Source organism: Homo sapiens, chromosome 2 (genome assembly GCF_000001405.40).
Source record: "Homo sapiens chromosome 2, GRCh38.p14 Primary Assembly".
NCBI classification, from domain to species: Eukaryota; Metazoa; Chordata; class Mammalia; order Primates; family Hominidae; genus Homo; species Homo sapiens.
Window position 1 is genome coordinate 9,205,568 of NC_000002.12, and position 20,892 is coordinate 9,226,459.

The window sequence follows — 20,892 nt, forward strand, 5'->3', positions numbered from 1 at the left end:
TCATATAGCAACTTCTTACATGGGGGCTTTAAAAAGATTGTTTGACTGGTCTACTGTCCTGCAGTGTCAGGAGACGGCTTTGTCTGACATATTGAATTTCCAGTGTCTCTCACACTTCCTCCTTTTCAGATGCACAAAAGGTTTTTGTAAAGTTTCTCTTGGTTTTACCGCTGGCAGCTACAGAAACCATGCCACAAGTCTGGTGTAGAGTTATAGGGTGTGATTTTATTTGACTGGTATCTTCAGAGCTTCTGGATTTTTCAGTATAACCGAGAATTTCCTTAAGAGCTGTAAATAAAAATCGGTACCAGTTCGAACCCTTTACTGGCCCGGTTTTGTGTGAGGTTGGCTGGCTGCTGTAGCACGTTCTCCCCCTCCTCCTCCTCCTGCACCCCCTCGGTTCCCTCCTCTGCCTGCGGGAATACCACTTCAGGGCGTTCAGCAGCCTTCCCAGGGTGGGTCCTGGCCTAGTACCCTAAAACTATAACCGAGAATACCTATCATTGGGCAGCCTAGGAAACGCGACTGGGACTTTTAGTAGGGGCCCCTCACCGCTCTGAAGCACTCACACTTGAGTCAGGGAACATGGGTTTGAATCCCCACCCGGCCGTTTATCTTGTGCTCTTGGGCACACTGTGTCCCCTATATAAAATAAGCACCCATCTCTTCATCTGTCTCCTAGGCCTGCGACGATGCAATGACTGCACGCAAAGCGCACATTCACGGTCAGGTCACTTCTGGCGTCCGGCTGTGGTCCCCGCAGGGTGCCCGCCGGCGGAGCGCATCCTCCGGCAGGGGGCGAGCTCCGCACCCCGCTTTCCTCATGGGCCGGCGCGGCCCGCCGTTCAAGTGGGGAGCCCAGAGGTGCTCCGCGCCGTGGGCGGGGGGCGGTTGGCGCGCACAAGGCCGGACTCCGGCGGGGCGCACCTCCACACGCACCCTCGCGGGCAGCGGGTCGGAGTCGGGGCCTCGGGCCGGCTGGGGGCGGGGCATGGGCGCGGCGCGCGGGGCCCGGAACGCCGAGACAATGCGGCGCGCGGCGGCCAGGAACGGCTCGGCGGGCCGGGGCGCGCGCCGCCTTCCTTCCTGCGGGATCCGCTTCCCGGCGGCGCGGCAGCGGCGAGCGCGCCGATTGGCGGCCCGGTCCTCCCGCCGCCCCGCCCCACGCCCGGCCGGCCGCCGCCCCCGGCCCGGACCCGCCCCTCTCCGCGGGAGGCGTCGGGGCCCGCGGCTGGGTGGCGGGTAGTTCCCGCCGGCTGTGCGCGCCCGCCTCGGGGCTCGCTCTGAGAGGACGCGGCGGCAGCGGACTCGGAGCCCTCGGCGCGCAGGCGGGCGGACCGGCCGAGCTGCGCGGGGCTGCGCGCCGCCCCTGCTCCGCCGCCAGGCCCCGCGCGGCTCCCGCGCCCGGCGCTCCCCTTTGTCCGCGGGCCGGAGCGGCGGCGGCAGCGGCGGTGTCCGAGCGGCGGTCGGAGCCTGCTGCGGCAGTTGAGGCGGCGGCGCCCCTGCGGCTGTGCGCCAGCGCCCTCGCGCCGAGGCGATGCCGGACCAGATCTCCGTGTCGGAATTCGTGGCCGAGACCCATGAGGACTACAAGGCGCCCACGGCCTCCAGCTTCACCACCCGCACGGCGCAGTGCCGGAACACTGTGGCGGCCATCGAGGAGGTGAGGCGGCCTGCGCGGCGGCTCCGGCCGCAGGTATCCCGCGCCCCAGCCCCGCCCGCCGCTCCCGCATCCGCATCCCGAGAAAACTTTCTTTGCTCCGAAGCCGGACGCGGCCGGGCCAACCCTGCCCGAGACAGAAGCCCTTTGTTCCCGCCTAGGTGGCTCGGAGGAGATGGGTGATGGCCACCTTGGGCCTCTTTAAGACCTCCCCTCTCTCGGCCTCGTGGCCCTCGCGGGGTTCCGCGGCCTGGTCTTTTCCCCGCAGCGCGGCCAACTTTGTCCAGAGTCGGGGTCCGCGGCGAGCGGGGGATCCCGCTGCCCGCCGCCGCCCGCCGCCGCCCGGGGTCTTTGGTACCCGGTGCGGACCTTATCAACTTGTTCTTGAAGTGGACCGGCGGGGGCAGCTCCGCGCTCCGAGCTCCCCGCCGCAGCCCCCGAGCGCCGCAGGGCCCCCACCCTCGGGTCCGCGGGTCCGGGGCATCCCGGGCTGCCCGGGAAGGCGTGCCCGCCTCAGCCAGGGCGGCCTGGCTGCGCTCCACCCGTGCCCGGAGAAGGAACTGCGGGCAAGGTGTGTGAGAGTCGGCGCTTCTGGGTCCAAGAAGCCTCCAGGAGCCGCTCCCCGGTTACCTGGGTCTCACCTGCTTGAACCCGGAATGCCGCCCTTCCCCCTCAACCTGGAAAAGGCCTGGTTTTAGTAAAGTGCTCTCAAGGTGCAAAGTCATCACGCCTAGCTGCTAAGCAGTACGCTCTCCAGGTCCTGGGGAGAGGAACACGTAGGAACGAAGAAGCTTGGTTGAAAATTAAAGCCGTGGGGAAAGGGGCAGAGTCTGTGAGTCCAGGGGCCACCGTTGGCTGTGGTTTGAGGCACATCCTCACCTGCAGTCCTCCTTTTCCTTACCCATCAAACGGGATTAGTAATGCATCCTTTCCAGGATCAGAGACTGTGTGAAGTGCTTAGCACTCTGCTCGGCTCAGAATAGGTTTACAAGTCACACGTGTGGCAATAGTGAATCTGTGATTAAATGTCTCTGGGCCAGGATGTCAGGTTACAGTTTTAAAATTGGGTATTGCAGGTGTTTTAGCAGAAGACGCCTGGGCTAGCAGGAGTGTGTGTGTGGGTGGGGGGGTGGGTGTCACCAAAGAGCTTTAAATGAAGCAATGGCGTTATTTTTTTTTTCTGGTTTTTTTTTTTTTTTCCCATTTGAACAAAGCATCTGCTATTAGGAATTGCTTGAAAAAAAATCCAGAATGTTTTCCCTTAATGGAAAAATTTTTTCTTTGTAGCTGTAAACAGTCAATAAAAGGGAGTCAAAAGTAACATTCAGCATTCTGAATCCTGTTAATATAACTTGGGTAGCCTTCCTTCTCTCCATTTAATTTGGCGGAAGAGAGCTGCATGTAAACCTTTCCTATGAATTCGGTGATTCCCCAGATCACTTAATTCTACTTTTAGCAGCAAGGCTTACAGATGATGCCTTCAAATGAGGCAGATGGGGATGGGTGAATGAAATTTTTTCCTAAGTGCCAGTTAAAAAGCACGGTGTTTTGAGAATACACCATTAATAATGTTTATGGAATGATTGCAACCAAAAAGGTAGCTGAATATTTCTTAAGGGAAGGAAGCATTGTGCATGATGTCTTTCTTTAGAAAGCTTGATTATGTTTAAAGTTCTGTTGCTTTTCCCCACTGCAGTTTGTCAGTTAAATATTATTAACACTGGCAGATGTTGGAAAGCCAAGCAAACAAGAATTGCTATTAAAATTGGCATACCTTTCTCTGATTAATTTTAGTTTACAGTGTATAATTCCAAAGCTCTTTTTGTATGCTGTGCAGGAGATTACCCTAGAGCTCAGTTACTGAGCAGATTACAAAGAGACTGGATTTGGTCATTTCATTAAATTGCAAGCTTGCTTCATGCTGCCGTCTAAGCCCAAGAATTGGTTCAAGTCTCAAAATGGAAAAATTAAAATCATTTCAGGTTTATTTCACTTTAAGCAAATCTACATACATGCTATGATGATGGTATGTGTGAGCTTGGTTTTATAACTAAATTTGAAAGTTGTTCACTTTCTGAGGTAAATCAATGTGGATTTCTTTAAATAATGCTCTTTCCCAGGTGTCTAATGTTCGTGTCTATTACCAAAACTTGTTCTATGTATGGTTTAATAACAATTGATGTGTACAGTATTTTGGTTTTAAACAAAAATCTTCTCATACTGAGACGAAACATGAGAGGGTATCATGACATAAAGTTACTCATTTAACAAATAAATAAAATTTGCAAGCTCTTGGTCTTATGTTTAAACAAATGAATCACGGAACTAGCAAACTAATTTTATATTTATTTATTTATTTGTTACGGAGTTTTGCTCTTGTTGCCCAGGCTGGAGTGCAATGGCACAATCTTGGCTCACTGCATCCTCTGCCTCCCAGGTTCAAGCGATTCTCCTGCCTCAGCCTCCCAAGTAGCTGGGATTACAGGCATGCGCCACCATGCACAGCTAATTTTTTGTATTTAGTAGAGATGGGGTTTCACCATGTTGGTCAGGCTGGTCTCGAACTCCTGACCTCAGGTGATCCACCTGCCTCAGCCTCCCACAGTGCTGGGATTACAGGCGTGAGCCACCACACCCGGCCAGCAAACTAATTTTAAACTGATTAACCTTTTTGAATCTGTTATTTCCAATGTAGGTTCTATCTGCCAAAGAATCATTTTACAATTAAAATGTGCTGTTTTGATTTGCATACTTGTTGCTGGAATATTATTATAGTAACTGTTGGGCCCTTATCCTGTACTATGAAACTCACAGGTATTGAATTCAGTCCTTATCTCTGCTTTATAGGCGAGGAAATTGAGGCTCAGAGAGGTTAAGTAATTTGCCAAAGGTTATAGAGCTCTGAAGTGGACTTTGAACTTGGCTCCTGCTGTTTTCAGAAACCATGCTGCTTCCTGTTACTTTTCTTAATGCCGAATTCTCTAAATTACTCCTTTGTCAGATTGACCTGGGTTCAAGTTCAGGCTCTACAGCTTGCCAGCTGAGTGAACTTGAGTGAGATGCCTAACATTTTCTTATTTTCCTCAGCTTTAAAGTCTGGTTAATAATACCTATCAACTTCAGAGGATTGTGGTGAGGGTTTAGGAAGATAGTACATAGCACAGAAGCTGCCAGACAATTAGTTACCAGATTATATAGTTAGTGAGTCCACAGGCCCCAGTGAGGGCTTTTGGAGTGAGGATGGGATTTACATGGGGGGAAGTGTCAGGGAAATGGATGAATGGCTGAATGGGTGAGTGAATGAAACACTACCGTGTATCTGTTAACCCATGTGTTTTTTTTTTTGAGATGGAGTCTCGCTCTGTCGCCCAGGCTGGAGTGCAGTGGCTCGATCCCCACTCACTGCAAGCCCCGCCTCCCAGGTTCATGCCATTCTCCTGCCTCAGCCTCCCGAGTAGCTGGGACTACAGGTGCCCGCCACCATGCCCGGCTAATTTTCTGTATTTTTAGTAGAGATGGGGTTTCACCGTGTTAGCCAGGATGGTCGATGGTCTAGATCTCCTGACCTTGTGATCCGCCCGCCTTGGCCTCCCAAAGTGCTGGGATTACAGGTGACCCATGTGTATTTTTTAAAAGTTTGTTGTCAGGCCAGGTGCGGTGGCTCACGCCTGTAATCCCAGCAGTTTGGGAGGCCAAGGCGGGCAGATCACTTGGGGTCAGGAGTTCGAAACCAGCCTGACCAACATGGAGAAACCCTGTCTCTACTAAAAATACAAAATTAGCTGGGTGTGGTGGCGCATGCCTGTAATCCCAGCTACTTGGGAGGCTGAGGCAGGAGAATCACTTGAACCCAAGAGGTAGAGGTTGCGGTGAGTCGAGATCGTGCCATTGCACTCCAGCCTGGGCAACAAGAGTGAAACTGCGTCTCAAAAAAAAAAAAAAAAGTTTGTTGTCCTGGCAGCTGGTGAGAGCATACCTGTATTTTATAATTTTTCACTTGACCACCTTCTCTGGTTCAAGTCATCATTTTGTACAATTTTAGCAAACTTAGCAAAGTCTGGTGCTGCAACCAGAGTCTGCCCTGTGCTTTTGGAAATAATGGAAAAAATAAGCAGTTGTGGCAGAAATTTGAAAAGTAAGGGTTTTTTGTTCCTTTTTTTTCTTCTTTTTTTTTCGTTTCTTCGAGCCTCTGGGCACTTTGAAATATTCTCAAAATAGGGAAAAATTGTATACATATTTGGAATATTCATGTTTTTAGTTAGACCCTCCTTTATAGCACCATCCATTCTGCCTTACGTATTTGGCATTGATGTAGTTTTAAAAATAAATTTGATGTTGACTTGTAAGTATTAAAATTTAATCTACTTCCTTCCGGGGCCATAATTCTCTACTTTGTTGTCCTTGGTTACCTTGGCAATCCCATTGCTGTCATAAGCACAGGGTTCTAACTGCAGGGGTGGGGTGAGCATCTGGGCCTGCAGGCTCCCAGGGGCCCTGCCGTCCATGGGACCAGACCCCTCCTAGCAGCAACAGTGGGAACCAGGGCTACGTGCTTTTTGGCAAGAATGTGATTCTGAATGTTAGCCCTTTGTGACTTGTTTGAAAAACAGTTCCTCCAAGTCCCCAGAACAGATTATTGCTGTCTTCAGAAGGACATCACCTTCTTGCCCAGAGCATTCATGTTTTTGGAAGTGAGCCTTGATGGGTCAAACAGGGCCACCTTTTAAACTGTGTTCTGAAATTTGAATTTCAGAAAATTTTGAATCACTTAAGGAAGCAGCCATTTTCTCTTCATATGTGAGCCTTCCTCCCTGCCCCCTGGTGAATGCTGAATTCAGTTTCTTTCTTAGGCTCAAGAGTAGAAGTACTGATGCCACTCCTCACGGGTTCCAGGTCCTGCCATGCACTCAGGATTCCTGAGTCCTTCAGTGTGCTGGGCTGTGTGTGAGGTGGCAGGAATAGAACACCAAGAAGAATATGTCCTCTCTTTGGAGGGACCTACAGTCCAGCAAGAGGAACAGAATCCTGTAAACAAATCAGTGCAGTAAAATCTGAGGACCACATCTGTAGGAATGCTTGGAGTCCTGTGGATGTGCAAGGGTGCAGGTGGTCCCAGGGCGTGGGGCTGTGGTGAGGGAGGGCCTTATATGATGTCGTACCGTTGAGTCTTGAAGTCCAGGCAGTTACCTGTGGGTTACCAAATGCTAAGGCACTAAGCTGGTTCATTCTGGTCTTCTGTACCTGCCTCCCTGCCTTAGGTAAATATTGATCTACTCCTGAGGTGGTGGCCAGCTCGGCGTCTGCGGTAGGATTTTCACAGTCACCTGGTCTCTAGAGGGCTGCTCAGACCAAGAATTTGGGGTGATCCTCAATTCTTCCCATGCACCCCACGTTTCCAGGCACCGGTGCCTTCCTTTGTGGAGCATATACATGCATTCCAGGCCCGCACTGTCTGATGAGGCAGCCTAAGACAAATCCAGCTCTCAGCCGCCACATTGCAAGTACTCAGTAGCCACACGTGGCTGGTGGCTACCATATTGGCTCAGCAACCACCGGGAGAGCCATCACCTGGAAACTTGCTGAAATGCAGAGCCCCGGGTTCCACCCAGGACAATTTTTACAGCATCTCCACGTACACCACAGGCACGTGAGAGCTTGCGAAGCACTGTTCGAGACGGAACCCCGGCTGCACACTGGAGTTGCTTGGGCGTTTGTGAAGCAGAGCTGCCTGGCTCCACTCCCTAAAATTCTGACTTAAATTAGTCTGGGTGGGGCTTCGAGCCTTGGCATTTTTTAAAGCCTCCTCCCAAATAGGGTTGATAATCACTGATAAACAGACAGTTACGTAACAACCTTAGGCAGTTGATACGTGCTGTAAAGGAAAGTCATGCATAACATGGGGATAGAAAGTGGTTCTGGAGATCAGGAAACCGAAATCAGGAAAAGCCTCTCTGCAGAGGTGACATTTGAGCAGGCTGGAATGCAGAGAGGAAGCCAGCCACAGAAGATGTGGGAATAGAACAGCTTGGGAAAAGGCCCTGAAATGCCAATGGGCGGGATCATGGAAGGACTGAAGGAAGGTCAGGGTGTGTGGGGAGGAGTGGGCGAGGAAGAGAAGGATGAGAGACGGGCAGAGGGGTGGGCAGTGCCAGGTCACAGAGGGCCTTGTCCATCTTGGGGAAGGAATTTGGATTTTGTTCTAGTGTGATGGGAAGCTGTTGAAGGGTTTTGAGCAGGGAATAACATGGTCCGATATCCATTTTAAAGACTTCACTGTGGTTCTAGGGAAAACAGACTAGCAGGGCATGAAAGGAAAGAGGGAGACCAGTTGTGGGGTGAGGGGCTATTGCAGTCATCTAGGCAAGAGGTCTTGGATGAGGAGGTAGCAGGGGGGGTGGTGGTAAGTGGCCTGATTGAGGTCCATTGTACAAGAAGAGGGGTCCAAACCTACTGATGGATTGTCATTATTGTGTGCTAGTGGCATAGAGGTAGACCCAATAGAACTCCTGCCCCAAACAGGGCAACAGCCAAGCTCAGTTCATCCAAGCCCCCTGAACAGACCTTCCAGCATCCCCATGGTGAAGCTGTTGCTGTCTAGAGCTACTTAGTGTCAGAATCCAGGCCAGCTCTGTGCTGCTTGATGTGACTGGTTATAGGACTTGTGTTGGGACCAGTTCCAGGGTCAATCAAGGAAAGATTGAAGCATAGCTGCATAGACTGGGGCCCAGGGAAAGAGAGAAGCATGGCTGCATAGACTGAGACTGAGGGATCTGCTCATGCGACCCTCTGCTGTTTCTATGCAGACTACAGCAGGTGATACTTATGGGCATTGTCAGATGCCTGGGATGCTATCCCCATTTCAGCTCCCCAAACACTCCTCTTTCTTTCCCTACTAAAGAGAGGTGACGTTCCGTGATATGAACCTACCTCCTTTGCTTACGCCTTTTCTGTGTAATGTGGCCTCCAAGTGGATTGCTAGGGCCCTTCCAGGTACTTTTTTTCTTTTCTTTTTCTTTTTTATTTTGTTTGAGGTGGAGTCTTGCTCGGTTACCCAGGCTGGAGTGCAGTGGTGCGATCTCGGTTCACTGCAACCTCTGCCTCTCGAGTTCAAGGGGGATTCTCCTGCCTCAGCCTCCTGAGCAGCTGGGATTACAGGTGACTGCCACCATGCCCGGCTGATTTTTGTATTACTAGTAGAGATGGGGTTTCACCATGTTGGCCAGGCTGGTCTTGAACTCCTGACCTCAGGTGATCCGCCCACCTCGGCCTCACAAAGTGCTGGGATTATAGGCGTGAGCCGCTGCGCCCGGCTGCCTTTCCAGGTGCTTTTATACCATTATCGTTTTTATCATGTCAACAATGTCTTGGAATAAACAGACTACCAACCCGAGCTGGAATACTTGGGCTGTATTTTTATGATGATGGTCATTTCTATGAAGGGATTTGACTGATTTAGTTTCTTCACTCATAAATGTATATTGGGCCCCTACCGTATGTTGTCACTGCCAGGTGCCAGGGATGTAAAAGTGGACAGGATGGCCTGGACGTCTAAAAAAAAAAAAAAAAAAAAAGTGAACAGGACTAGCTCCTTCCTTAGAAAGCACTTAATAGTCTCATGTTTTATGTGCAGTTCTGTTTCATCCTTTTAACCTTGTTTGTGCCATGGCTCCCTTTGACACTCTGGCGAAGGTGATCTGCCTCTTCAGAAAAATGTTTTAATGCAGAGAACAAAATAAGATTCCGAAGGAAACTAATCACAGTCATGCATTGCTTAATGACGAACATGCATCGTTAAGATTTCTTCATTGTGCGAACATCCTAGAGTGCACTTACACACACCCAGATGGCATGCAGGCACCTAGGCTATATATTAAGAGCCTATTGCTCCTAGGCTGCAAACCTTACAGCATGCCACTGTGTTGAATACCGTGGTAACTGCGACACAGTTACAGTATTTATGTGTGGTATTTGTGTATCTAAACATAGAAAAGACAGTAAAAATCCCTCTTATAATCTTATGAGAGGTCGTCTGTGTGGTTCATTGTTGACTGAAATGTCACTATGTGGAGCACGACTGTATATTGAAATTCAGTTAGGAGAATATTTTAAAAATTTTTACCATGCTCATAATGCTTCTTTACTAAAGCATTTAATAACAAGATTTACTGGTGGGTCTAACAAATACCTTAATTTTGAGGTATTGATGAATATAAACAATACGAGATATTTCTAATAAAGATAATGTAATGTTCATATCTTTTATTGCAAGTATTGATAATATTACCATGTGTTGCTTACATTTGTAATTGAAAGATACGATAAATTTCAGTTAGACCCTAATGAAAATACAGATAATTTTTTTTTTCCAATCCAAGTTTATGGACCCCCTGGATTCAGACAGAGAATTCCAGGCTTGATGGTAAGATTTGTTTAGCTAGTTTTTTTTTTTTTTTTGGAGTGATGGATTCTTTAACCACTCTGTTTGTTAAATATAATTATTATATTTCATAATTATTATACTGTCCTTGCCATGAATTGGTTCTAAGAGTCTAGCTGAGAAGAGTTGCACCCTAGGCCAGTGTTAGAATTATGAGGCGCTAAAGGTGTTTAGAAGCGCTCTTGGCGGGGAGCCATCCACTGTGGTTTTACATCCGTGGGGTGCCCTCTGTTCTTTCAGGGTTATGGCTTGGCAGCTTCTCATCTGATCCCACAGGTCAGTTCATATACTTGTGCATGCCTCAAGAGTTCAGCAGAGCTGCACATTGGACCTTCTGAGTCCTGTAATTAGGATTCTGAGCTGGGTAGGTCCTACAACCCAGCTCTCCTATTTGTGCCTTTCTTGTTTGTGTCACACGGCATGTACTGCCTTTGACTCTGCAGGGCAAGTTCCATTGTGAAGCACCAGAAGATTCATGGGCACCACCTACCCAGAATTTTAAGGGAGACTTTGCAGTGTGTGTTATTTTCAGTGAGGGTATGGATTTGAAATGCTGCTGCTGTTGCAAGAGTGTGTTGGGGATATCCAGAGTGTGGGTGAAGTCAATGTCAGTTCATATTTTTTTTTTTTTTTTTTTTCTGAGACAGGGTCTGGCTCTGTTGCCCAGGCTTGAGTGCAGTGGTGTGATCTTGGCTCACCACAGCCTTGACCTCCTGGGCTCAAGCGATCCTCCTGCCTCAGCCTCCTGTGTAGCTGGGACTACAGGTGTGCCCCACCATGCCTGTTTAATTTTTTTTTTTTTTTTTTTTTTTTTGAGACGGTGTCTCACTCTGTCACCCAGGCTGGACTGCAGTGGTGCCATCTCAGCTCACTGCAATCTCTGCCTCCCAGGTTCAAGTGATTCTTGTGCCTCAGCCTCCTGAGTAGCTGGGATTACAGGTGCCAACCACCACACCCAGCTAATTTTTGTATTTTTAGTAGAGACGGGGTTTTGCCATGTTGGGCAGGCTGGTCTCGAACTCCTGACCTCAAGTGATCCACCCACCTTGGCCTCCCAAAGTGCTGGGATTGCAAGTGTGAGCCACCATGCCCGGTCCCTGATTAATTTTTGTATTTTTTTGTAGAGAAGGTTTCACCATGTCATGGCTGGTCTTGAACTCCTGGACTCAAGTGATCCTCCTGCCTTGCCCTCCCAAAGTGCTGGTATTATAGGCGTGAACCACCGTGCCCAGCCTCCCCCTTGTCTTTTCTAACATTTATGGGGCACTTATTATGTGCCAGATATGCTTTAAATTCTTTACATATATCAATTATTAACTCATTTAGTTATTATCAAAATGCTATAGGGGCCAGCAAAATTAGGCCACGGTACCAAGTTCATGGAGCTTGGAGGTGATGAAGCCAGGATTCATTCAAATCAAGCATTTTGACACCAGAGTCTGCTATTTCTTTTAGCAGCCAACAGCCTCTGTAGAGCCCGTGCCCACCAAGGCCCTTGGTGTTGCAGCCTCTGTGGCCAGCATGCCCTCCCTTGCTGTTAGTGTTAGAAAGTTGCAGCTATTGCATTGCTCGAGTGGGTGCTTCTGGCAAATCCTTGTTGCTTCTCGTTTCCTGTTTGCCTCATCTGTCCTCCTTGCTGCAGAAATTGTTCTTCTTTCCTCTCCTCACTGCTCTGCTGACATGCCCAGCCCCACGGAGCAGAGTGGCCAGGGGCATTGCTCACACCCTGGCAGGAGGCCTTCCCTGCTAACAGTGTTAATAACGATGTCATTTTTCCACTCCATGCTGAAGATGGCTTTGTCAATAAAATCAGGCAGTTGATGAAGACAGTTCCCTCTCATGATGAATTCACTTGTCTTTTAGGATTCTAGCCAGGCAGTCAGGATTGTCGGGACCTCTTTCCCCAGCTTCTCAGAAGAAATCATGTTCTTCTTAGAGGTATGTTTTTGTTTTTTGTTTTTTTTTTTGAGACGGAGTCTTCGCTCTGCCACCCAGGCTGGAGTGCGGTGGCACAATCTCGGCTCACTGCAAGCTCCGCCTCCTGGGTTCACGCCATTCTTCTGTCTCCGCCTCCCGAGTAGCTGGGACTACAGGCGCCTGCCACCACGCCCGGCTAATTTTTGGTATTTTTAGTAGAGACGGGGTTTCACTGTGTTAGCCAGGATGGTCTTGATCTCCTGACCTCGTGAGGCACCCACCTCGGCTTCCCAAAGTGCTGGGATTACAGGTGTGAGCCACCACGCCTGGCTTTTTTTTTTTTTTACATGAAAAAATAATGATGACAATGCTTTAATTTCATTTCTCTGAGCTTTAATTCTGTATTAAGGACTGTGCTGTGTTTTAAATTGATGATTTGATCCCCTCAACAGTCCTGAGGTTAGTCCTATAGTGACATGCCTCCAGGTTCCACATCCCACAACCAGCATTTGATAGAGTAAGAATCCCAGTGCTGTGGAGGAGGTCCTACTCTTCTTGATCTTTTAATGCCCCACCTGTCAGTCTCCTGCTGGGCTCTCTGTTGCCTGGGAAGATTTCTCTGTAGGTGTTCCTGTGAGTTTCCTTAGTGCAGGTTAATGATGGTTGTTGATCACCTGCAGTCCCCATTGTCACTGAATGTGATTGCCTGGAGGTCATCAGACACTAACTCCTGGGGAGGCACTTAACATCAGAAGTGTTTATTAACTTGACCTTGACCAATTGGCCTCCTTAGAGCTGAGGGGCCAAGAACACTGTCACTGTGTGACAAGGACTAGGAGCCACCCAGACCCATAGAGTATTCCCTTCGTTTCAGCAAATCTGTATTTTGAGGCTGCCACTGAAGGGTGAATCATGGATGTGGCGTGTCTAGGCAGACTTGGGTGGAGAGGAGTCAGCTCCCTGTTAACAGAGGACTTTGGAGAGGTTTTGAAAGGAAGGGAGAATGTTGAGGCCTTGTACTGTATTCCCCTGATAGCCTGAATCTGTTGTCAGCTCTTGGACCTTGGAGCAGGTGACTTCACTGGTCCTGCCTCAGTTGCGTCATTTGTAACATGGAGGGTTGGATGCGATGAGTCCAGTCTTTCCAGCTCTTGACCTTCCATGTCTGCTGCTGTCTGCAACACTTCCCCTGCCTCTTGCCACCCTTGCTTTTTTTGGCTGTCGTCTCTGTTTTTTTCTTTATCTTGACTATTTATATTTATACTTTTCAAGAAGTTAGAGCTAAGAGTGAACGTTACCTCTTTCATCCCCTTCTTTAAAGATTCCCTCCTTGGAGATATCACTGGAGTTGATGTGGTGGTTGGTACTTGAGCTGGAATCCCAATGGGTGCCTTGCTGGTTTGAGATTGGGCCGAATGAGGCCGTGTTGTTTGCCATCTGTCTTGCCTCAGAGCAGTATTTTTTGCAGTCTTTGCTGCTTTCGTTGGTCTCTTAATTAAAACTTTGTTGTGCTTTGCTTCTCTGGTGAAAAGCAGGTTGTGTTAGTGATGATCATGGGGTTTTGTGGTCATTGAGTAATGTGGACTGTTGAACTTCAAGAAAATACTGATTTTCTTATATCCAGCGAGCTTCCTAGATTTTGTGGGGAACCAGTGTTCTCATCATTGGAAGATGTGCTCTCTAGTGTGAAGCAGTGATTTTCACATTTGCCCTGTGATTCGGTTGTGTTTATGTTGTGGAGCAGAAAGACCTAGCCAGGGAGTTAGGAGAGCGGGATTGGAGTTGTAAGGTCAACCTTATTGTGACCTTGAGCCAGTTAACTGTGTATCTGGTCTGTAACATGAGAGATTTGGACTAGATGTTCTCTGACCATCCTCCCTGACCTAAAAATTCCATAGTTCTTTGTATTCATATATACTGGATGTGAAAAGTCCCTGGAATAAATTACAGGAACAAAAATCAGCCAGGAATGGCTAGTTGATAGTCCTGAAAAGACAACATCATTGCTGAATCATATCTTCAAGTTGAATTATTTATTTTTGAAAAAACCTTTCTATAGCATCCTGAGAAACTTATTTCTTATTGTTGTTGCTTTTTTAAAAAAAAATTGAGATAGAATTCACATACCATAGAATTCACTTACCATAAAATTCACCATTTTAAAGTGTCCAACTAAGAGGTTTTTAGTGTACTCACAAAGTTGTGTAGCCATCACCACTATTTAATTCCAGATCATTTTCATCACCAAAAAGAAACCCCATACCCATTAGGAGTCATTCCCTAGTCACCTGTACCCGAGTCCTTGGCAGTCACTCATCTACTTTCTGTCTCTATGGATTTGCCTATTCTGGTTGTTTCATATATGGAATCAAACAATATGTGGCCTTTTGTGTCTGGCTTCCTTTATGTAGCCTAATGTTTTTAAGATTCATCCAAATCATAACATGGATTTGTACTTTATTTCTTTTTATGGCTGAATAATATTCTATCAAATGTGTATGATACATTTTGTTTATTCATTCATCAGTTGATGGACATTTGGGTTGCCTCCACTTTTAGGCTATTATGAATAATCCTGTGAATATTCTTGTATAAATTTTTGTGTAGACATATGTTTTCACTTCTCTTGGGTATATACCTAGGAGTGGAATTGCTAAGTCACTTTAACTTTTTAAACTTAAACTTTTTAAAGTCAGTTTAACTTTTTGAGGAGCTGCCAAACTGTTTGCCAAAGAGGCTGCACCACTTGACATTCTTACCAGCCATGTGTAAGGGTTCTGATTTCTCCACATCCTTGACAACACTTGTTATGTTTGTCTTTTTTATTACACCCATCTTAGTGGGTGTGAAGTGGTGGGTTTGATTTGTGTTTCTCTGATGGATGACTAATGATTTTGAGTGTTGTTTTATATGCCCATGGCTGTGTGTATCTTCTTTGGAGAACTATCTATTCAAATCCTTTGCCATGTTTATATTGGATTATTTGTCTTTTTATTGTTGAGTTGTAATCTGAACATTAGACCCAGATCAGATATATAATTTGCAAGTAATAATTTCCATTTTGTAGATTGTTTTTTCACTCATTTGATGGTGTCCTTCAAAGGACAAATTTTTTAATTTTGATGACATCCAGAATAGTCATTTTTCCTTTGGTTGCATAATACAGTCACAAAGATTTACACCTATATTCTGTTTTATAGTTTCAGTTCTTACATTTAGGTCTTTGATCCATTTTGAGTTAATATTTGTATATGATGTGAGGTAGGGGTCCAACTTCATTCTTTTGCATATGGATATATCTAGTTGTCCTGGCACCATTTCTTGGGAAGACTTTTCTTCTTGAATTCTCTTGGCATCCTTTTTAAAAGTTGATTTACTTCTGATATATGAGTTTATTTCTGGACCCTCAGTTCTGTTCCATTGATCTTTATGCCTATCCTTTATGCTAGTACCATAAAGCCTTAATTAACTGTAGGCCTTATGGTATGTTTGGAAATCAGGAAGTGTGAGTCTTTCAACTTTGTTTTTTTTTCCCAAGATTGTTTTGGCTATTGAGGCTCCCTTGCATTTCCATATGAATTTTAGGATCAACTTTTCAATTCCTGCAAAAAAGCCAGCTGAGATTTTCATTGAGGTTATGTTGACACTGTAGTTCAATTTGGGGAGTATAGACATCTTAACAATCTATCATAACCTCTTCTATCTATGAACTTGGAAGTTTTTTTCATTTTCTTTTCTTTTCTTTTTTTTTTTTTTTTGAGACGGAATTTTCCTCTGTTGCCCAGGCTGGAGTGCAATGGTGCAATCTTGGCTCACTGCAACATTGGCCTCCCAAAGTGCTGGGATTGCAGGCATGAGCCACTGCACCTGGCCTCATTTTCTTGTCTTTAATTTCTTTCAGTAATGTTTTGTAGTTTTCAATGTACAAATCTTACACTTCTTCTGTTAAATTTATTCCTAAGTACTTTATTCTTTTTGATGTGAGTGGAATTGTTTTCTTAATTTCATTTCTGGATTATTCATTGCTAGTGTATAGAAATATGGTTACTTTTTGTATATTGATCTTATGGCCTACAATTTGCTGAATTTGTTTATTGGCTTTTATAGTTTTGTGTATTTGTATGTGTATTCCTTAGGATTTTTAATATGCAAAATATCATCTGCAAATAGAGACAGTTTTGTTTATTCTTTAATAAGCTGAGCACCTTTTATTTCTTTTTTTTGTTTTTTTGAGACGGAGTCTCGCTCTGTCGCCCAGGCTGGAGTGCATGGCGCCATCTCGGCTCACTGCAAGCTCTGCCTCCCAGGTTCACGCCATTCTCCTGCCTCAGCCTCCCGAGTAGCTGGGACTACAGGTGCCCGCCACCACGCCTGGCTAATTTTTTTTTTTTTGTATTTTTAGCAGAGATGGGGTTTCACCATGGTCTTGATCTCCTGATCTCGTGATCTGCCCGCCTCGGCCTCCCAAAGTGCTGGGATTAGAGGCGTGAGCCACCGCGCTGGCCTATTGCTTTTTCTTATCTGATTGCTGGATCAGTTCTTAATCATCTTTAAATTCCCAATGATTTGCACAGAATAGGTGCTCAGTAACTTTATTGATGAACTTCGGTATTAAAAATCAGTTTTTATGTAAGCTGCAGTTTCTTGTATTTAATTTGTTTTATTCTTTATTTGGCCTCTGGGCATGTTGAGAAAATAGGAAGATTTGCTTGCTTGGTCTTTAGTTGCAAAGGAAGTTAGTGGAAATGTTTTTGCATTTGTAAATGGGTTTTAGATATTTGCCTTGTCTGGCCACGGTGCTTGGTAGTCACTCAGGAGGCTTAGAGCCAGGCCTCGTGTGTTCTCTGCAACCGCAAACCCTTTCCAAGCTGCTGTTTCTGCTGGTGAGTGTGGCTGGTGTTTTGGTTGCTTTCTATCAACATTGCCTTGATTTGGTCCCCACAGGAGACTGCTCACTTCTTGACAAAAGGTAATTATTGAGATTCCTGGTTTTCTTCTCACCTTGTAAATTCTCTTGTTTTTGTTTTTTGGCAAATAGGAATGAGGTGTGTTTACTACTGGAGCATCGGGCTGTCAGAACCCGTAGCTTTGGTTTGCCTTGGTCGCAGCCTGCCAGGTTGCATACTTTTGATTTGGAAGAGGTGCCGGTGGGTGTGTTCGCTAGCAGGAATCACCCACAGTAAAAATCATGGGTAGGAGAAATGGCCGTTCACCTTTTCCCATCTTCCTTCCTTCCATTGTCTACACTCCTGGTCCCACCTTTTCCTTGGGGACTGGGATGCTTATGCTGGAACCTAATCAGTGTCCAAAGCTTAAAATTCTCCTCTCCTCCTCACTTTTTTCCTCTTTGTTTTCTCTTGACTTTCATTGCCTTGGTCTATTTCCAGACCCTCCAAGGCCTGTGTTTTCTCTTTAAAAGATCCTGTTCCATCCAGAGGAGACTCAAGAGTCCCACTTTAATTTGGGATTTTAGGCAGAGGCCTTCCTGCATCTCTCAAGTCACACTTGCAAGCGACTGCTTTGGTGATGACATTTAAAGTTGGCCTCCTTTCCTACCACTCTGACTCCCCTCAATTTTCTAGAACTGGGTTTATTGTTCTATATTTTAAAATTGATTTATTATCTTCTATAGCAATGTTGGAAGGAGCTTAATTTTGGAAGTGCACAGTTCTCTTTATGGTCAAAGCGAAGTAAAGGAGATTTGATTGATCTTATGACAAAATTGCTTTAGTCATAGCTGATAGGAAATCTCTTAAGGGCCCTGTTTTATTTGCTCTTTTAATTTATGAACCTTCTTGGATCCTTCAAGCATCTGTATACTAAGCCAGTAAGGCCTTATCTGGAACATGCAGGCTTCATTTTTGCCCCTAATATGCCATGAAATGCTATAGGGTTCTGATGCTTTGTTAGATTTTGGTGTAAATTAGGGAGTAACAGTGTCAGCAAATGTGTATTTCAGAAATTTGTTAATTTTTTTTTCCAAAGGAAAATGTACTATTAGCTGGAATAACCTGGCAGCCATAGGGCGTACATTAGACCTGGAAGTAAACAAAATGACCCCCAATGAAGTAGAAAGTAAGCTACTATAAATTATAGCCCATTTTGTTTCCCTGTAGGTCAGGGCCATGTCATCCTCAGGCTTCCAGAAAAGACCATGTTGTGAAATAGGAACAACAGAGACCCAGTGCCCTACAGCTAAGGCCAATGGGAGGGAGGGGAAGAGAGGAGTTAGACCAGCTTAGAAGGGTGGGGGCCCCCTTCTACTCTGGAATCCTTGCAGGTCTCACTAAGCCACAGCAGAGCATGTTTATTGATGTTAGGTTGGTCATTAAGAATAGTCAAAATCAGCGTCCTCTGATTTGGTGCGCTGGGATGCACGTAATCCACTGAGGATAGTATCCATGAAAATAGTTTTTGAACTTTGCTTTATAAATTTTGATGAGCTTGAGTTCACTGAGAAAATTAATTTCTGTAGAACAATTCCTTCATTTAATGTTGGCCCAAATGAAGCATTTAGTATGGAATTTGGGCCTTGGTGGAATTTTCTGGGACACGTAGCCTAATGTGAGGACAACCATTGCTGAGCAGTGCGAGGGAAGGGAGGATTGCCTAGTGAGTGACTGGTGCCGAGCAAGAGGCTTCCTGCTTGACCTCTGAATACTCTGGCGCTTCCTTTTTGGGGTCAGGAAGCTTCCAAATCCAGAGATCCCCCTGTTTGCAGTTCTTAGTTTTCCTCTGAAACCCCCACACCAGACTGAGTGTGCCTAGGGTTGGGACTAGGTATTACTTCTCTTTGAATCCCAACATGATGCCTAGCATACATAATTCTCAGAAAATGTTTGTTGATTGTCAAGGTCCAGCTAATCTTGTTGATTTGTGATTTCATACCTTTTTCTTTCAAAGGATTGCTGTATGCCTGGAAATAAATCCATTTTGGTTTGCAAAATCAAGGTTGTCGTGTCATCCTTTGAAACAATTAGAGAAGCAGGAAAATCTTCTAAGGATGATCGAAATCTCCACTCTATAAACCATCCCAATTAATATCTGATTTCTTCTTTGAAAAACATAATCATATCCTTTCTTCTGTAGAACCTTCCCTAACACTCCTCATTTATCAGAACAAATTTCTGAATTCTTGAAGCAATTAGTTTTTGACTCACTTTATGTGTCCTTTTTTATCCATCCATCTGTCCATTTATCTGTCTCTGTCCATCCATTGATCCATCTTTGGGACAGACCTGGGATGTCTGTGCTCAGAAGCAGAGTGCTCTACATCTGGGAAGCACAGTGGTCGTGCCCACAGCTGTCAGGCTCCTTGCATGCTGGGCTGTGGTCCTGGCTTCTCTTGTCTTCTGTAGAGTGGGAGTCTCACCAAAGGAGGGCATGGGAGGGCTAGCTTGAGTCAAGGTGCGTAAGTTGGAACATTGCAGATGGGGTTCAGGGTACCCAGGGTTGTCCCTGTTTGGTCAGGGCAGGGTCAGCAAAGCTCCAGCCTGTTTTTGTATGCAAAAAGTGTAAGCTAAAAATGGTGTTTATGGTTTTTAGGGGTTGTAAACAAAATCCCAGAAGAAGATGCAACAGAGACCGTGTATATGCAACCTGCAAAGTCTAAAATATTTATCATCTGCTCCTTTATAGAAAAAGTTGTCCCAAGCCTGGTTAGAGCTCTGAGTGAGTGTGGGTAGATCTGTCTCACAGATCTACTCTGTCCCAGAGTCTGTCTCAGCTAGGCCAGAATACTGAGTTGTGAGGAACCTTAAAGACACTTGTCTAGTGGTCTGTAGGACGCATGGCCCTGTTTAGACATTCTGCTTGGTATGGTGACCCAGGGACCTGCTGCTGGTAGAAGCAGCCTTTTCTTCCCCAGGAAATGTATACTAAATGAAAGCAAGTACTTTCACCTTTTCCTCTGTGGTCCCGATTTTACCTCTGAGGTCATGAGTAAGTCCAGGTGACAGGTGGGTCAGAGCTGGATTATGGAGGGCTGAGCATGTCAGTTGGAAATTGATTCAGAAGGTTGTGGGGAAATATTAAGGGCTTTTGCGTAGGGGAGTGACATGAGCATAGCTGGGCTTAGGAAGTCTGGCCTGGCATGGTTTGGGATCCTGGGGGAGATGGAGCAGGCTGGAAAGGTTAGGGGCAGGGAGACCAATAGGAAGCATTGGCCACTGCCGTGGGAAGTGGTTGTAGGGGTCTGGATTAGGGCATAGGGAATACAAAGGAAGGGACGTATTCCAGGGAAGTTAAGTGGCAACTCCTCATCTTCTAGTTTGTGCTGTCACCAGGGTTGGTTGGTGTGTGGCTGGCACACTCAGGCCGGCCTTCCCCCTTCCCTTCCTCCTTTCATAGAGCAACTGCTCCATACCAGGCCGTGGGTTCTGCGGAGTTCCTGCCTGGAAGGCGCCCATGAGCTGGAGGAAAGGAGAAACAATGGTTCTGCCAGGGAGGAGATGACATTGGATAAGCTCCTTGAAGGCGGAGGTTGTGTCCTGTGTGCTGCCTCATGCGAGCTAGTCTCACCCTGGGGCACGTAAGAGGGGCTCAGAAGGTCAGTTGTTTGAAGTCCCACAGCTGGCTGGCCACGTAGACGATAATGCTGTACACCAGAAATCAACATTATAATAAAACTCTTAAAAATCCAATCTTATCTCTACTTTTAAGGAACCTACCATTTACAAATAAAAGATCACCCACTTATTTATTCATTCAGTGTCTGTTTTCTGTAAAGCACACTGTATGGCTGTGTACCCTTATGCACAGTAATTGCCAAAATGCCTATTGCAGGGAGCGGGGTCACCTCCCTGAGGCCATGCAGAACTCGGCATGGGTCTACTTTCCGCCCCTCTTGAGCTTTTATTTCCCCAAATACCTTTGCCTC

General features: G+C 46.4%; 1 protein-coding gene across 17 annotated transcripts in view, besides 5 other annotated features; it reads left to right on the forward strand.

Annotated features, from left to right (window-relative positions):
• Positions 394-1,326: an enhancer, noted in NCBI's record as "H3K27ac hESC enhancer chr2:9346090-9347022 (GRCh37/hg19 assembly coordinates)". NCBI's record gives its function as "activates a minimal SCP1, AML or CMV promoter by ChIP-STARR-seq in naive H9 embryonic stem cells {active_cell/tissue: H9 hESC(naive)}" and the evidence as "EXISTENCE:reporter gene assay evidence [ECO:0000049][PMID:30033119]".
• Positions 775-1,034: a silencer, noted in NCBI's record as "silent region_11132". NCBI's record gives its function as "represses an Ori minimal core promoter by ATAC-STARR-seq in GM12878 lymphoblastoid cells {active_cell/tissue: GM12878}" and the evidence as "EXISTENCE:reporter gene assay evidence [ECO:0000049][PMID:35858748]".
• Positions 781-964: a silencer, noted in NCBI's record as "fragment chr2:9346477-9346660 (GRCh37/hg19 assembly coordinates)". NCBI's record gives its function as "represses an EF-1alpha promoter that drives an FKBP-Casp9 reporter gene in an ReSE screen in K562 erythroleukemia cells {active_cell/tissue: K562}" and the evidence as "EXISTENCE:reporter gene assay evidence [ECO:0000049][PMID:32094911]".
• The window catches only part of ASAP2 (ArfGAP with SH3 domain, ankyrin repeat and PH domain 2), a 198,867-nt gene continuing 179,219 nt past the window's right edge, over positions 1,245-20,892 (forward strand). For 8 of the 17 annotated variants that reach the window (XM_011510403.4, XM_011510407.3, XM_011510404.3 and 5 more), the window contains exon 1: positions 1,245-1,696. In XM_011510403.4, coding sequence (XP_011508705.1) covers positions 1,538-1,696 — 159 coding nt within the window. In that variant the 5' untranslated portion in view covers positions 1,245-1,537. Of the gene's footprint in view, positions 1,697-12,360; positions 16,984-20,892 lie in introns of those variants that run through there. The other 9 variants (XM_011510406.3, XM_006711898.2, XM_006711902.2 and 6 more) reach the window with 2 other exon arrangements.
• Positions 1,327-2,257: an enhancer, noted in NCBI's record as "H3K27ac hESC enhancer chr2:9347023-9347953 (GRCh37/hg19 assembly coordinates)". NCBI's record gives its function as "activates a minimal SCP1, AML or CMV promoter by ChIP-STARR-seq in primed H9 embryonic stem cells {active_cell/tissue: H9 hESC(primed)}" and the evidence as "EXISTENCE:reporter gene assay evidence [ECO:0000049][PMID:30033119]".
• Positions 12,252-13,126: an enhancer, noted in NCBI's record as "OCT4-NANOG-H3K4me1 hESC enhancer chr2:9357948-9358822 (GRCh37/hg19 assembly coordinates)". NCBI's record gives its function as "activates a minimal SCP1, AML or CMV promoter by ChIP-STARR-seq in naive H9 embryonic stem cells {active_cell/tissue: H9 hESC(naive)}" and the evidence as "EXISTENCE:reporter gene assay evidence [ECO:0000049][PMID:30033119]".